The sequence below is a fragment of the Homo sapiens genome, chromosome 10 (genome assembly GCF_000001405.40).
Source record: "Homo sapiens chromosome 10, GRCh38.p14 Primary Assembly".
Classification (NCBI taxonomy): Eukaryota; Metazoa; Chordata; class Mammalia; order Primates; family Hominidae; genus Homo; species Homo sapiens.
Window position 1 is genome coordinate 15554893 of NC_000010.11, and position 16434 is coordinate 15571326.

At 42.8% G+C, this 16434-nt stretch overlaps 1 protein-coding gene across 2 annotated transcripts in view; it reads right to left on the reverse strand.

Moving 5' to 3' along the window:
- The window catches only part of ITGA8 (integrin subunit alpha 8), a 205969-nt gene that overhangs the window by 40939 nt on the left and 148596 nt on the right, over positions 1-16434 (reverse strand). For both annotated transcript variants that reach the window (NM_001291494.2, NM_003638.3), the window contains one exon: positions 3182-3310. In NM_001291494.2, the coding sequence (NP_001278423.1) occupies positions 3182-3310 (129 nt within the window). The remainder of the gene's footprint in view (positions 1-3181; positions 3311-16434) is intronic.

Consider the following 16434-nt stretch of genomic DNA (forward strand, 5'->3'; position numbering starts at 1 on the left):
GAGAGAGAAAGCAAAGGGGGAATTGCAAATCCTTTCTTAAACTTTAATTTTTCAGTTATGTAAATCAAGCGTATGGATTTCCGTTCTACAGATGAGAAAATCAGGGATTCAATTTCTTGAGCACTGATTTCCTTTCTTCAGTGATAGCTACCGTGAATTATTTCAGTTTCATAAATGGCTGGAGCAGTTCTAGTCCCCAAAGCATCCTTGAACATTGTCATAAAAAATGGCTGATTTCATTTATTCATGTCATAACATTTTATCTTGAATTCAGCAGATCTGGTGGCTAATGAATTTGGTCACTACCAACACTATCTTTTAAACGGCTTGCAATATATCATTGGCTTATAATTGGATTTAGGATTAAGAGCATGTAGGTTAAGAACACATAGAAGGGCACACCATGGAGCATTTTAGACAATGATTCCAAAAGCTATTAATACTGTCTGTGATGAGTTCACTCACTGTGTCATTCACATGTTTGTTCAACAGATGAGCTGGTATTATGCTACATGTTGAGAAAACAACACTGAGAAAAAAAACATGCCACCTACCCTAATGGGCTGTCAGGACTGCGGACAGGGAAGGAGGGAGGATGCCCCCTTGGGTCAGTGCACCGTGGCACCTCAACAAGTCTAGGAGCCATTCACAGTTTCCGGGATGAACCCAGTCTGGAGAGGGTCAGCAGCATAGGTAGGTTAGGTGTCTAATGGCTTTCAACCCAGCCAGGACTGTGACTGCTGCCCCTGTAGAAAGAACTCTAGCACCCTCCTTGGTTCAGTCTCTTCCACTTCTACCTCCACCTTCCCTTTTTTTTTTTTGAGACGGAGTCTCGCTCTGTTGCCCAGGCTGGAGTGCAGTGGCGCGATCTCGGCTCACTGCAAGCTCCGCCTCCCGGGTTCACGCCATTCTCCTGCCTCAGCCTCCCGAGGAGCTGGGACTACAGGCACCCACCACCACGCCCGGATAATTTTTTTTGTATTTTTAGTAGAGACGGGGTTTCACCACGCTAACCAGAATGGTCTTGATCTCCTGACCTCGTGATCTGCCCACCTCGGCCTCCCAACACCTTCCCTTTCTTATTACTCATTTGCCCTGCGGTCTTCTGCCAGGGTCTCTCTCTCTCTTTTTTTTTTTTTTTTTTTTTTTTTTGAGACCAAGTCTCACTCTGTCTCCCAGGCTGGAGTGCAGTGGCACGATCTCGACTCACTGCAACCTCCACCTCCCTAGTTCAAGCGATTCTCCTGCCTCAGTCTCCTGAGTAGCTGGGATTACAGGCGCCTGCCACCACGCCCAGATAATTTTTTTTGTATTTTTAGTAGAGATGGGTTTCACCATGTTGGCCAGGCTGGTGTGGAACTCCTGACCTCAGGTGATCTGCCCACCTCAGCCTCCCAAAGCGCCGGGATTATAGGCTGAGCCACCATACCCAGCCAGGTCTCTCTCTTTGGCTTGCTGCTTTGGATGGATAACCCTGGACTTGTCACTGTGGCCTTTGATTCAGTGTCACCACAAATCACTGCATCTTGGACTGAGCTTCTGAACTGCAGCTATGGGGCAGGAAGTACGTGCTTGGTCTGTGCCCCCCATACCAGACCCAGTGTTCCCAGCCTGTCCCTGCCCCAAGCACGGAATGTTTGTTTTCTTGCTTTATCCTTATTTTATATATCTATTGTAATTTTTATGGTTATGTAATAGGTGTATATATTTATAGGGTCTATGAGATATTTTGATATGGGCATACAATGTGTAATGATCACATCAGGGTAAATGAGGTACCAGCACCTCAAGCATTCATTTCTTTGCATTACAAAATGTTCCAATTATGCTCTTTTAGTTATTTTTAAATGTACAATAAATTGTTGACTATAGCCACTCTGTTGTGCTATCAAACAATAGATCTTATTCATTCTATCTAACTATATTTTGTACCTGTTCACCATCCCCACTTCTCTTGTTTGCTTGCTTTTGAGAAGGGTATTAGCTTCTGAGGTGATCTCTGATTACTTCTGCATAGCTGGAGAATGTGCATGCAGCTTCCTACTTTTTATGGACATGGTCTACAGAGCACAGATAAACCCTGACATTCACTTTGAGCCCTTGCCACATGGTCAGGGAAGAGGATGAATATTCACATGAAAACATAAAGCACTAGAAGCTGCCGCAATAGGATGAGTGGGAGAATAGAATCAAAAATGCTGACTCTGACCGGGCATGGTGGCTCATGCCTATACTCCCAGCACTTTGGGAAGATGAGGCAGGCAGATCACTTGAGGTCAGGAGTTCAAGACCAGCCTGGCCAACATAGTGAAACCTTACCTCTACAAAAATGCAAAAATTAGCTGGGCATGGTGGCATGTGCCTGTAGCCCCAGCTACTCGGGAGACTGAGGCAGGAGGATTGCTTGAACCCGAGAAGCAGAGGTTGCAGTGAGCTGAGATTGCACCACTGCACTCCAGCCTGAGTGACAGAGCAAAACTCTGTCTCCGAACAAACAAAAAAAGTGCTGACTCATGAACACTGAAGATAGTATTGCTAAGGGCTAACTAAGCTCAGGCTTGAGCTGCCACAGACCCCAGTGCTAAGACTCAGCAGGGGTTTTGGCCCAGGAAACCTGAACACAGCATTCTTTTTTTAAAAAGTAGAGGCTGGGTCTTGCTATGTTGCCCAGGCTGGTCCCAAACCCTTGGCCTCAAGGGATCCTCCCACCTTGGCCTCCCAAAGTGCTGGGATTACAGGTGTGAGCCACCATACCCAGCCCTGAACACACCATTCTTGCCTCTTCCAGATAAGCAGAAGCTCTGAGATTCTGGGACAGGTGCAGAACTCCAAGGGTCCATGCTCACTTCAAACTACCACAGCCCAGCATCTATGCACGGACTAACAACTGAAAGTGTATGTTCCTGAAATGGATTGAAGGTCACAGTTGATGTTTTCACCATTATTCTCCAAAGTGGCCTCCATGGCAGCTTTAGAAAAGTGAAAAGGTTATATTGCAAGTGCTCCTTAATTCTTACAGAAAAGTTGCTTTTCATTCTCGAGATAAACACTGCCAAACGTTAGGAATATCTGAGCACTGAAGGAGACCAAGAACAATCCTTGAAGTTAAAACTATCTGTATTTGAGGGTTCTATCCAAGCCACTCATTTCCCTCAGTTCTATGCACACTGGGATAACTCACCAGTATTTTTGCAGGGCTCTGTCTGTGGAATTCGACCACATGTACATCCCTCTTCCTGACAAGATGAGGAATAGTAGAGTTTCGCAAAAAGGCGCTGAGCTCAGGGGTGTCCTCTGGGGAGGCAGCAGGCTGCAAAAAGAAAGTGGGAGATACCACATTAAAAACACATGAACAGTTGCTACATTTTCTTTAGCCTTGAACTCTAGGCAATTTTTTTTTCTCAGTGGAATATGATTCACATGAGGATCCAGACCTGTGATTACCAGCAGTGTGTTTAACAGTGACATGACCTGCACGCACAAGGAACAAGCTTTTCCACTCTTCAATGACAGGAATTCACGAAGCATGGGGAATGCATTCCTGGGAAGTTTATCTTGCAAGGAGAAGATTTGAAGCAGAAGTCATTTCCCCACAAGGATAGAAAACATGCAAGTGACGTTTCAGACATGAGCCATCCTTCTCTCATTACTTTCCTCTCATTGTAGAGTGGGGCCAGTTAAACTGAGGAACGTTCTGTATGGGGAGATGAATCCTGAGGTGACAGAATAGTGAGGTGCCAACCTCATTTGGGGAAACAGCCTGATGTGGTCAAAGACCCCACATCCACATGGCTGAACCCCACGTTCCTGCACTCCTTTAGGAGAAAATTCTGCCCTGACAAAAATGACTTTTCGAAAGTCTGCTACATGTTCACTGTGCTGCAGTGGAGTCTGTTTTCAGCCCTGAGTTCGTTTTGCAAATGTCCTAGAACTTACTATTTTATCTCAGGTTCCATGCTGGGTCCATCTGCTGGCTGGATAAATATTTTGAGAATTCCAATAAATCACACAGAATATCGCATTAACATTCTTTATTTTAGACCCACTGAATACAAAGACCTAATTTTCTGTTCCCCACTCCCACCCTTGAGAATTATGATTTCTTTCACACAGTTTCTCTTTGTAGTCACAGGAGCAATAATAGTATGCCCATCTCTATGGAATGAAGAAAAGAAATTTCTACATGGCCGATGTAGGCTGCATCACAAAAGATGAAATGAGAGTGCTCAGTATGTCATGAAAACCTGGAAAAACCTACTAGACAAACAGAAGGACGGAGTCCAGACTCCCTAGCATGGCACACACAGGTCCTCACATGCTGGCCTTGGCCGGTTTCTCCAGCCTCTTCTCTGACCAAGAACCCAAGGTCCTTCACTCCAGCATGCTAACCTGCTCTTCGTTCCCGATGGCCCCAGGTACACTCGCCAAGCCTCTGATGTTCTGCATGCTTGGTCTGGGGCCCATCTGTGCCTATCCAGCTGTACCTAAGCTGCCTGCCAGCTGGTCTGCATTGCCAGATGAGAAAATGGAAAACACAAAGCAGAGAGTCACTTAGAGCCTCCCAGGAAACAGAGAGATGAAGATAATCTGGAGAGGAAAGCTAAGGCAGGGAGATCAGATGTAGGAGGTAATCTAGGAAAGTGTCGTTTTTATACAAGCCCAAGGAAAAGAAAGCTGCAAAAATAAGAGAGTGACAAAGAATGCCAAATCCTGCAGAGAAGTAAGGAAGGGTGAAGACCTTTATGCACTGAACTTGGCAATTTTGTCATGTCCTTTGTAGGGACGTGGATGGAACTGGAAGCCATTATCCTCAGCAAACTAACATAGGAACAGAAAAACCAAACACTGCATGTTCTCACTTATAAGTGGGAGTTGAACAATGAGAACACATGGACACAGGGAGGGGTACATCACACACTGGGGCCTGTCAGGGTAGGGGGGCGGGGGGAGGGAGAACATGAGGAAAAATAGCTAATGCATGTTGGGCTTAATACCTAGGTAATGGGTTGACAGGTGCAGCAAACCACCATGGCACATGTTTACCTATGTAATAAACGTGCACATCCTTCACAGGTACCCCAAAACTTAAAATTAAATTTAAAAAGATATTATGAGCCAGGCTTATGCCTGTAATCTCACCACTTTGGGAGGCCGAGTCAGGAGGATCTTGACTTGAGGCCAGGTGTTTGAGACCAGACTGGGCAACATAGTGATACCTCATTGCTAATTAAAAAAAAAATAGCCAATGTGGTGGGACAAGCCTGTAGTCCCAGATACTTGGGAGGCTGAAGCAGGAGGATCATCTAAGCCCAGGAGTTCAAGACTGCAGTGAGCTACGATCATGCCACTGAATTCTCAGCCTGGGCAACAGAGTGAGGCCCTGCTTCTAAAAAAAATAAAAAGAAAAAAAGAACAAAATTACAGATGTCCTTTTATGAGGACAGATTGGTGGAGGTGGAAATTTAACTGCAGTAGCTCAAGAGTGAAAGGATTTTAACAAATGGATAATTATTTAAAAAGATATGAAATTAAATCCTTCTGTTGTTCTTATAGTAAATTCCCTACGGCTGAGAGACAAGATGAGCCTTGTCCCCCAAATAAGGCATGAAAACAAATATTGATGTTTGTAGCAACACTATTTATAATAGAGAAGAAAAACTGTAGCTTAACACTTTGTAGGCATATACAGGTTACTGATTAAATAAGTTATGATCTATTTATACAGAATACTACTGGACAGGTTTTAAAAATGATGGCATGAAGCTCCATTGGAATTTAGAAAGATACAAGATATTAGTAAGGGGAAAAGACAGGTTTACAACAGCAAATGTAGTAAGATTGTATTTTTAATAAAAATGGATGTATCTGACATTGTAGATCTATAAATAGAAATAATCTGGAAGGGCAGTCCTCAAAGTGTTAGAGTAGTGGAGATCCGATGATATTAAGGAAGTTTTGCTTATTTCTTTTTAGGTATGATAATAATGTTGTAGATTTTAAAAGGGTCTCCTTATTTATTTATTTTTCATTTTTATAGACACGGTCTCACTCTGTCGGTCAGGCTGGAGCATAATGGGTACAATCGCAGCTCATTACAGCAGAGTGATCCTCCTGCTTTAGCCTCCCAAATAGCTAGGACTACAGGCACATCCTGCTGCACCTGCTGAATTTCATTTTTGTAAAGACAGCATCTTGCTATGTTGCCAAGGCTGGTCCTGAACACCTGGGCTCAAGTGATCCTCCTGCCTCAGCCTCCCAAAACATTGAGATTACAGGTGTAAGTCACTGTGCCTGGCCAAGTCTCCTTATCTGTTGGCTATATATATATATATATATATATATGTATATATATATATATATATGTATGTAAAATGTTTATGGATGTGGAAAAATAAGTTAATGCATAAATAAATGGAAAAATAACAGTAAACAGGTGGTAACACTATTATTTAAAATGCTCTTCTTTATGTTTTTACATGTTGCTTGATATATTCTTATGATAGCATTTAGCGTTCTTAACATAAAAATCATGAACAATGTACAAAAATGTAAAATTGTAAAAAAAGTAAATGAGAAATGAAAAAGTAGAGATAGCAAGCACAGCTTGGCTATAAATGGAAGGGGAAAGAGGTCCGTTCTTGGAAGAGAATACAGAGTCAAATTACTGCACTTACTGTTTGTTTTGAAGATGGGAGAAATTTAACAAAGTTTATAGAACCCAAGGAATGTCCAAGGAGAGAGGAAGAAGTTGAAGATACGGGAAATGGAGATACTTGATGTACCAAAGTTAATTCATGGAGCTGGAGGAATAATCCTCCTTTCTCTGGAAGTGTTAGAAAGCAATTGAGGATGGAAGAGAGATGATTAGGGGCATGTGGAAGGGTGGGGTGGTGTATTAGTCCATTCACACACCCCTATAAAGAACTGTCCAAGACTGGGTAATTTATAAAGGAAAGAGGTTTAATTGACTCACAGTTCTCCCTGGCTGGGGAGGCCTCAGGAAACTTACAATCATGGCAGAAGGTGAAGGGGGAGCAAGGTACCTTCTTCACAAGGTGGCAGGAGGGAGAATGAACAGGAGAGGAAATACCAGACACTTATAAAAACATCAAATCTCGTGAGAACTCACTCACTATCACGAGAAAAGCATGGCTGAAACCACCCCCGTGATCCAATTACCTCCACCTGGTCTCTCTCTTGACACATGCGGATTATGGGGATTATAATTCAAGATGAGATTTGTGTGGGGGCACAAAGCCTAACCCTATCAGGTGGGGAGGGGTTTGGGATGGGGAAATGGATCATTCCTAATAGTAATGATAGAGCTATTGCGTAGGAAGGACAGAGAGAGTGGTGAAGGTTTAGACAAGGCAACGAGGAGGGTGCTATCATCACAATGGCAGATGCCCCTGCGAAGCTGGCGGCTCCGTGAACGTGCGCCCCGACATCAATCTGTCATGGCGCCATCAGGCTATGGGGTAGAGAAGCCAGGCTGTGGGACTGTGCATGACTGAGATTTTCAGGGCAGGGGCTTGGAAGGATATTAGAAACAGGAGGTTATGGGGGCTTGTAAAAGCGTGTTTCAAGTAACTCATCATGGAGTCCAGGCTTGGCAGGAAAGAAGGTATGGCCAGAGGAAGTCCTGAGAGTGGGATGGGGTAACTGTGTCAGAGAAAGCATTTATACCAGGGAAGAAAAATTTTCTTGAAGAGAACAAGTGAGACCATCATAAAAACAGGAGATTGAATTGGAGGAGAAAGGAAAGTTGAGTCGAATGTCTTGGAGGCAGGGTAGCTTGAGGTGTTGTTGACCAGTGGCAGAAACCCTGGGAGGTGGAGTGCATGGACCGGAGGGTAGGCCTTGGATAGCCCAGCACTGTGGGCCCTGGGACATCCCAGAACCATGGCAGAGCCTGGCACAATGAGGAGGAGGGGAAGCCCCACAGTTGATCGAGGATGCTGTTATGGTTTGGATATTTGTCCTCCCAAATCTCATGTCGAGTTTTAATTCCCAATGTGGGAGGTGGGGCCTGGTGGGAGATGCTGGGGTCACGGGGGTGGATCCCTCATGAATGGCTTGGGCCATCCCATTGGCGCTAAGTGAGCTTCCACTCTGAGTTCATATGAGATCTAGTTGTTTAAAAGTGTGTGGCACTCCCTGCCCACCCACCCTCTCTCTCTTGGTTCTGCTTTCACCATGTGAAGTGCCTGCTCCCCACTCTGTCTTCTGCTATGAGTAAAAGCTCCTTCAGGCCTCCCAGAAGCCAAGCAGTTGCCAGCTCCATGCTTCTTGTACAGCCTGCAGAACCGTGAGCCAATTAAACCTCTTTTCTTTGTGAATTACCCAGTGTTATGTATTTCTAGCCAGGCAAGAATGGCCTAATACAGATGCCCAGTGATGGAGGATCTGATAGAACAGTTTTGATGGTATCAGATAAAAAGTGAGCTTAGACAGAAAATTAAGAATTGTGGAAATCACTAGCTAAAATTCTCTCATATGTTTTCTATCATATACTATGTGGGTGTACATGTAGATTTTGCTTTGAGATGAATCATGTAAATTTTTTATAGGTCATTGACAATTATGTTACAGAGGTTAACTCTGTGGTTAACCAAGCTACAGAGAAGAGGCACTATAAAAAACAAGGGACTGACTCTTTATTCCCAAGATATAGCCTATTATTATTATTATTAGCAGTAAGCAGTAATAGTAGTGGTGGTGCTAAAACAATAGCCCAAACAGCCAGGTGCGGTGGCTCACGCCGGTAATCCCAGCACTTTGGGAGGCCGAGGCAGGCAGATCACTTGAGGCCAGGAGTTCGAGACCAGCCTGGCCAACATGGCAAAACCCCATTTCTACCAAAAATACAAAAATTAGCCAGGCTGGTGGTGGTGCACACCTGTAATCCCAGCTACTCAGGATGCTGAGGCAGGAGAGGTGCTTGAACCTCGGAGGCAGAGGCTGCCATGAGCCAAGATAGTGCCACTGCACTCTAGCAGCCTGGGTGACAGAGTGAGGCTGTCTCCAAAAAAAAAAAAAACAAAAACCAATACCCCAAAGAAAACTCTTTAACTTCCGGTGTGGTTTCATCAGATGTATCTTGTGTACAAATAAAGAACATGTCCTATTGGGGTAAATTGTCATTCACAAACATTTTAAGTGGTCTCTCAATAAAACACAGGGCTTACTTTGAGCTACAGAATGACAGTGTCACGTGGCAGGGGTTGATGGAACACATCTCTTTCTTTTGTGACACAGTTTTACAAATAGAGGAATGCCACTCTTAAACACCATAGTCAAAAGATCTCCAAATAGCTTGCAAACCAGCTTTCTGAAATGACATTCCAGAAATTATTTAAAAACAAAACAAAACAAAAAGGAAGAAGCTACCCAAGAAATCTAAACAACAGTTAAAGCCCATTTTCTACATGAACATTTGGAGCCTCTTTCACAATTGACAGTGAACCTACAGGCCATGGTTTTCCACTGAGGGTGGAGGACGCTGGCCTCTTAGCATCCATGATAGGCAGACAGTTCCCAGGACAATTCATTAAGTGCTAGGAGAAGCTGGTGGTCACCACTAAAGTGTCTTCTGTAGAACAAATGAAAATGACTTCTTTCTGCAATAAGGAAATAATTGTTGGTAAACATGTTTCTTTTTACAGCTGCTACTCAGAATTTAGCCCAACAGGAATTTTCTATTTTCATCATTCTTTACCAAACTCTTCACTGTGTCATAGGTTTAAATTTATGGATTAAAGGGATACTGTGCAGCCAGGATGTGCAGTACAGTCGGAAATGTGGCATTTGAAAAAAGGAGTTGGGTGAAATTAGATGAAGGGCCCTGTGAACCCAAACAAAAGCAATGCACACTATCTTTTTCTTGTTTGTAATTTGTTTTTGGATTTCAGGTATTCCTAGCACACAAGAAACAACAGACAACTCTCATGTACTTTGCCTATAATTAAACCGAAGTGGAGACAAGCCCTGGGGGGCAGTCCACCATGTAATTTTCTTTAAGACATGAATGTTGAGGATTTGTAGGGAAAGAAAACCCCCACTTTTTTAACCTCCTGAAAAGTTCATGCAAAGCACAACTAAAAGAATCTACTCACTCCACTGGTGATGTTGATGCTTTCTTAGTATTTGAACATGGTGTTTTTACATTCCAAAATATATGTGCAAACCTGAAGACCATCTCAAAGAGAAGGTAAAAATCTCAGACTGTGTAATTCTTTTTGATGGTCGAGAATTGGATCTTCAGGCACTCTTAAAAAGGCAAATACAATTCTTCTATCACAGGTAGCATTCCCATAAGAAAGAGGAAGCATACCTAGGACAGACTGACCAGGTCCAGGGGCAAGCCATAGATGTCACTAGTACGTCACAATTGGAGAGGAAGTAAATTAAAATTGACTACTGTTTTCCTGATCAGACCTTCTAAAATAATAAACAGCTAAGTTCTTTTTTGTTTTGTTTTGTTTTGTTCTGTTTTTTTCTGGGAGGAGAGTTTATAGAAGACAGCCGAGTATTGAAGGGGCAAGTAACAGCCATCAAATAATGCTTCAGCTAGGACATAAATTACGGTTCCTGTGGTCAAGGCTGTCAAAATGATTCCACAAAGAAATCAGGAGTTAATGGTAAAGATATACTAAATAATCTTCTTCCTTTCATGTCCTGATTTTTTTTTTTTTTTTTTTTTTTTTTTTTTTTTTGAGACAGAGTCTTGCTCTGTTACTCAGACTGGAGTGTAGTGACGTGATCTCAGCTCTCTGCAACCTCTGTCTCCCGGGTTCAAGCGATTCTCCTGCCTCAGCCTCCTGAGTAGCTGGGATTGCAGGCACCCACCACCACGCCCAGCTAATTTTTGTACTTTTAGCAGAGATGGGGTTTTGCCATGGTTGCCAGGCTGGTTTTGAACTCCTGACTTCAAGTGATCCTCCTGCCTTGGCCTCCCAAAGTGCTGGGATTACAGGCATGAGCCACTGTGCCTAGCCATATGTCTTGATTTTTAAGGGTATGTGTGTGTGTGCGCACGCGTGAGTGAGAGACAGAGGGAAAGAGGTCAAGAACTGTTGTGCTAGGAAGTAACGAGCGCCTGCATTCTGAATTAAGGAAAACCAGTACACGAAGGCAGTTAGGAAGAAGAAAGTACCCTAAAGGATAAGACAAAACTATGCAAATTTGCCAAGCCACTGTCTGCGGGCCCACTCATTCTAAAACATAACTCTAAAACTCTCATTCCTAAAGAACGGACGGTTTCTGTGTCTCCGCTTTCCATGTTTGTACTATCTGGTTGTAATTTGGACTTCCCATGGGACTGGTCTGGTTCAGGAGACATTCTCGGCGGCAACCTCCAGCTTTCCACGGCTCTCACAGCAGTTTTTACAAACAGCATCAGCTTTCTCTCATGTTAAGCCCTTCTTAGTCTATAGAGTCTTTCAGGCCACTTTTATCTCAGGATTATTTTCCTGAACTTGGGCCCCAAATGGTGTTCCATAGTCTTAACATAGGTTATATGTGGGCATCTTATCGGTCTTCCTCTCCTAGGTACGGTTTCACATCTAAGCCTTTTCCCTCTGCATCTCACACTTAGCTGTCTATTACAAAATCTTGCCAATTAAAGAAAAATCCTAGGCCGGGCATGGTGGCTCATGCCTGTAATCCCAGCACTTTGGGAGGTCGAGGTGGGTGAATTGCCTGAGCTCAGGAGTTTGAGACCAGCCTTGGCAACATGGTGAAACCGCATCTCTACAAATAAATACAAAAATCAGCAAGGTGGGTGGTACATTCCTGTAGTCCCAGCTACTTGGGAGACTGAAATGGGAGGATTGCTTGAGCCTGGGAGACAGGTTGTTGCAGTGAGCAGAGATAGTGCCACTGCACTCCAGCCCATGCAACAGAGTGAGACCTTGTCTTAAAAAAAGAAAAAAAAAGAGGCCGGGTGCAGTGGCTCACTCCTGTAATCCCAGCACTCTGGGAGGCTGAGGAGTGCTGGGATTACAGGAGTGAGCCACTGCACCCGGCCTCTGAGGAGGGCAGATCACCTGAGGTCAAGGGTTCGAGACCAGCCTGGCCAACATGGTGAAAACCCATCTCTACTAAAAATACAAAAACTATCCAGGTGTGGTGGCGGGTGCCAATCCTAGCTACTCAGGAGGTTGAGGCAGGAGAATGACCTGAACCCAGGGGTCAAAGGTTGCAGTGAGCTGAGATTTCACCACTGAACTCTAGACTGACTGACAGAGTAAGACCCCATCTCAAAAAAAAAAAGAAGAAAAAAATAGAAAAAGAAAAATCCTTTACTCATTATGAAACTTTTGGCTCCTCAATAGGTTTTACTTTTTCAACCTCATCTTATCTAAAGATAACAGTCTGTGTGCAGGACTCTCCAAACCCTAGGATAAAGCCCATCAAATAAGAAAATTGATAGTTTGAAATAATTATTGTACTGGCTTTAGATTAGTTGAGAAATACTTCACTCAACTCTAAAATTTTATTCCAAGAAGGATCTGGAAAAAAATTAGCTCTAATGGATTGCTTTGGATGCTGCAGACAGTTGAACATTTCAAAATGTTGTAGATGGTACGATGTGAATAAGGTGCCATGTTAAAATCCTCTATCTCTGACCTAGACCCTGAAGCCTGGAGGGAGACCCTTCCCGGGCATCTGCTTATGCCCCTAAACTTACAGAAAACACAACTGAACCTGATGAAGCAGAAACTATCACCGGAGAAACAGGAACTCAAAGGCAGAGACATTTTCATTGGGAGGCAAAAGAGAAAGTGGGAAGGGACATCCTCAAGGCACTTCCATGCCCCTAGGCTGACCTCAGTTGGGCCCTGGGGACAATTCACAGGGGAAACACCAGTTGTGCAGCTCACCCAGCCCTTCCTGATCTCCTGCAGCCCCCAGGCTGTTGCCCACCCTTGATTCCACCTTCCCTCACGCCCTAAGGGTTGAAAGTGTCAACAAACCAAGCTGAGTGAATCCCATAAACCCTGATATGAGGCAAGTATTTATTTATTTATTTGTTTAGAGGCAGGATGTCATGCTGTTGCCCAAGCTGGAGTACAGTAGTGTGATCATAGCTCACTGCAGCCTCCAACTTCTGGGTTCAAGTAATTCTCCTTTCTCAGTCTCCTGAGCAGCTGGGACTCCAGGGACTACAGGCATGTGTCATCATGCCTGGCTAATTTATTTTTATTTTTTGTAGAAATGGGGTCTTGCTATGTTGTCCAGGCTGCTCTCAAACTCCTGGCCTCAAGTGATCCTCCCACTTCAGCTTCCCAAAGAGTTGGGATCATAGGCACGAGCCATGCTCCTGGTCCAAGACAAATATTCAGAATAAGAACTCACTGACTTCTAGAAGCATTTGTGTGTGTCTGCCCCTGCCCCATCCCAATTTAGTTGCTAATGCTCTGTGTTTGGGCAACAAGTGAGATGGTTGTGGATGAGAACTTTTCACCACTGTTTTTTAAACAGCCACAGGTTACAGGATGATCCCAGTGGTAGCTTATAAAAGCAGTCAGTGTCTCCTCCTGAAACTTTGGGGACATTAGGGTAGCTTGCTGAGATAACCAAACTATAACCAGTTTCTACTGTGATAAAAAATACCTGAACCTTGTTTGGGTCTTATCAGATGCTGAGACTTATGTGAGAAGACTTTCAGAGTTATGTTGTATTTGGAGTGCATATCCAGGTTATAGACCGGTTGTATTTCAGAAGGTTTTAGGCTAGATGTTTGGCATTCAGAATGCATTTCTCTTTAGAAATGATGTTTTAAATGGTGTTTCAGTTCTCAAGCCAGTCCACAAAAACCCAACTTAATCCTCAATAGGGCTTTGATGCCGTCAAAGTATGTATTTGTAAGGAAAATAACAATGTCCAGGACTGCTGCCATATGAGTAATTTAAAAAATAGAAGAAAATCCATTTGTTAAGTACATTACATTCAGCACATTACATTAGGTGGAAATCGATTTAACTGAGAAAAATTAGGAAGTATGTGGGAACTTGCAGGGATTCTCAGGGCATATTTGGGAAGTTGTGAAGGCTTTAGAGTTAGTGGCAATGGATCCCTGGAGTGTGTGACCTCTAAAATGCTTCTTAGGAAGTCTGGCTTATTTTTCACAAGTTTTCCTAGAGATCTGTGGGGATCAGGGAGAGGTAACGAAGAAGAGAGCATTTTTCCAGTGGGAAGTGGGCAACTTAAGAACACATAAGGAAAGGGGACGTTGACTACAAAGTGTATCTGAACACGAGGGAAAGGGATTTTGCTGAAAGAAAATCAATGGAATGATTAAAGAGGAAAACGTAGGAAGGAAATGGCCAATCCCTCAGCTTTAGAAAGCTGGGGAGAGAGCGCCTCTCTTACAGGCCCACGGTGGCCTGGGACATTTTGGGGGCTAGTCCAGTGGGGACTGGAGCATCCTCAGAAAGGGTGAAGAATGTGTAGACATGAACTACTCACAGATGCAGCTGTTTTATGAGGCACTTACTATCTAGATCACTCTTCTTGTAAAGAAACTGTAGAACCAAATAATCAGGAATTGAAGCTTAGTTCACTTCCCCGGTGAGTAAGATTGGATACTGGAATTGAATTCTTGCCTTGACAAATGTTATTTCTGCTGCCTCCCTGTTCCTTTTAGTAAGCCCATCCTCTGTCTGCTTCTTACTAAAAATAAAACTAACTATACAATTTTTTTAAAGAGATGAAGTCTTGCTATGTTGCCCAGGCTGACCTCAAACTCCTGGCCTTACGTGATCCTCCCACCTCAGCCTTCCGAGTAGCTACAAACATCGCTGTGCCTGGCTATGGCACAGTTTTGTTTTTTTAACAGCAATTCATTTTCATGCTAATTTGAATTTAAAATGGTTATTAAAATTAAAAATTTCTCAGATCTATTCTGTTGAAGACAACAACAGGTAAGAGATTATTTGTTTTTCACTAAAGTCCAAGTCATATCAAGAAAAGATGACGTTTGCATTCTCTAGGAAAAATTAAATTGCCATGTAAGTTAATAGCAACTTCACCAAAAAATTATTTAGCATCATAAGAGGAGAATAATTTCCAGTACTCTCAATTATTTATAGTCACTAATGTAAACTCTCTTGATTATCTGTTTTTTAATGTCTATTAATAAAAGCTCCTTTAGACTCTCTGGAGCATTTATTAAGTATAGGTGACAGTACTTTGAGAACCTGAAAGTAATAACATTTCAACTTCTCTATGAATTTAGAATTTCAAAAATTCACAAATTGCTATGATTAGTTATTTAAGGGAGATATTACTTTATATTGTATTTAAATCTTATATTCAATTTCCACAGATTGAAAGTTTTAGGAAAATGAACATAATTGAATTGCATTTTTAAAAGTATTAGCCTCAGACAGAATTTTACTCCAAGCACATACATTAAAGAATAAGTGGGGGCGGGGCGCAGTGGCTCACGCCTGTAATCCCAGCACTTTGGGAGGCCGAGGTGGGCGGATCACCTGAGGTCAGGAGTTCGAGACCAGCCTGGCTAACATGGTGAAACCCCGTTTCTACTAAAAATACAAAAAAATTAGTCAGACGTGGTGGTACACGCCTGTAATCCCAGCTACTTGGGAGGCTGAGGCAGGAGAATTGCTTGAACACAGGAAGTGGAGGTTGCAGTGAGCCGAGATGGCGCCATTGCACTCCAGCTTGGGCAACAATAGCGAAACTCCATCTCAAAAAAAAAAAAAAAAAAAAAAAAGAGAATAAGTGGGGAGTAGGGAACACCAGGTGCTTAGTATATACTATGGCTTGGTTTGCAAGAATCTGTCAACATTTAAGACAAGTCATCTATTAATACTATCGTAGTCACAGTATGCCACAAAAAAACAAATAACTCACAACCAACATGGTGTACATTAAACCAGTTACATAATATATACAAACATATATAAATAGTGTCAGATATAAACTAAACATTACACTCAAAAAGAGTTAGAGGTCTCTGCAGAATCATGTGCTCAAAGAATCTATGACTGAAAGTACATGTTAAATGCAATGCAGGATATGTAAAAGTGTTAATTATTTAAATGTTATACATTTGCATTTGCAGATGTTATTTTATAATAAGCTACTGTCCTTAAAGAATTTAAAATCATCTCAATGAAGAGCAAAGAGGAAATGAGAAAAAAAAATTCCAGGAAGGAAATATTTTAAAGAATCTTGTGTAACACAAGTGGCCTTATGTATAATTTCTACATAAAGGAGGAGGCTGTTGTCTCATAAGTCCTTTACTAATGAACCCCCTTTAGTCTTCCCTTTGAATAGGAGGCATGTTGGGTTGAAAAAGAATGCCTTTCAGAATGAGCAATGACCCAGTGTCACTGGCTGAGGTAGGGGCAGACCTGCTCTGTCTTGGCTGGTGGCGTGGGTATTCCATGAAGCCTGCGCTGC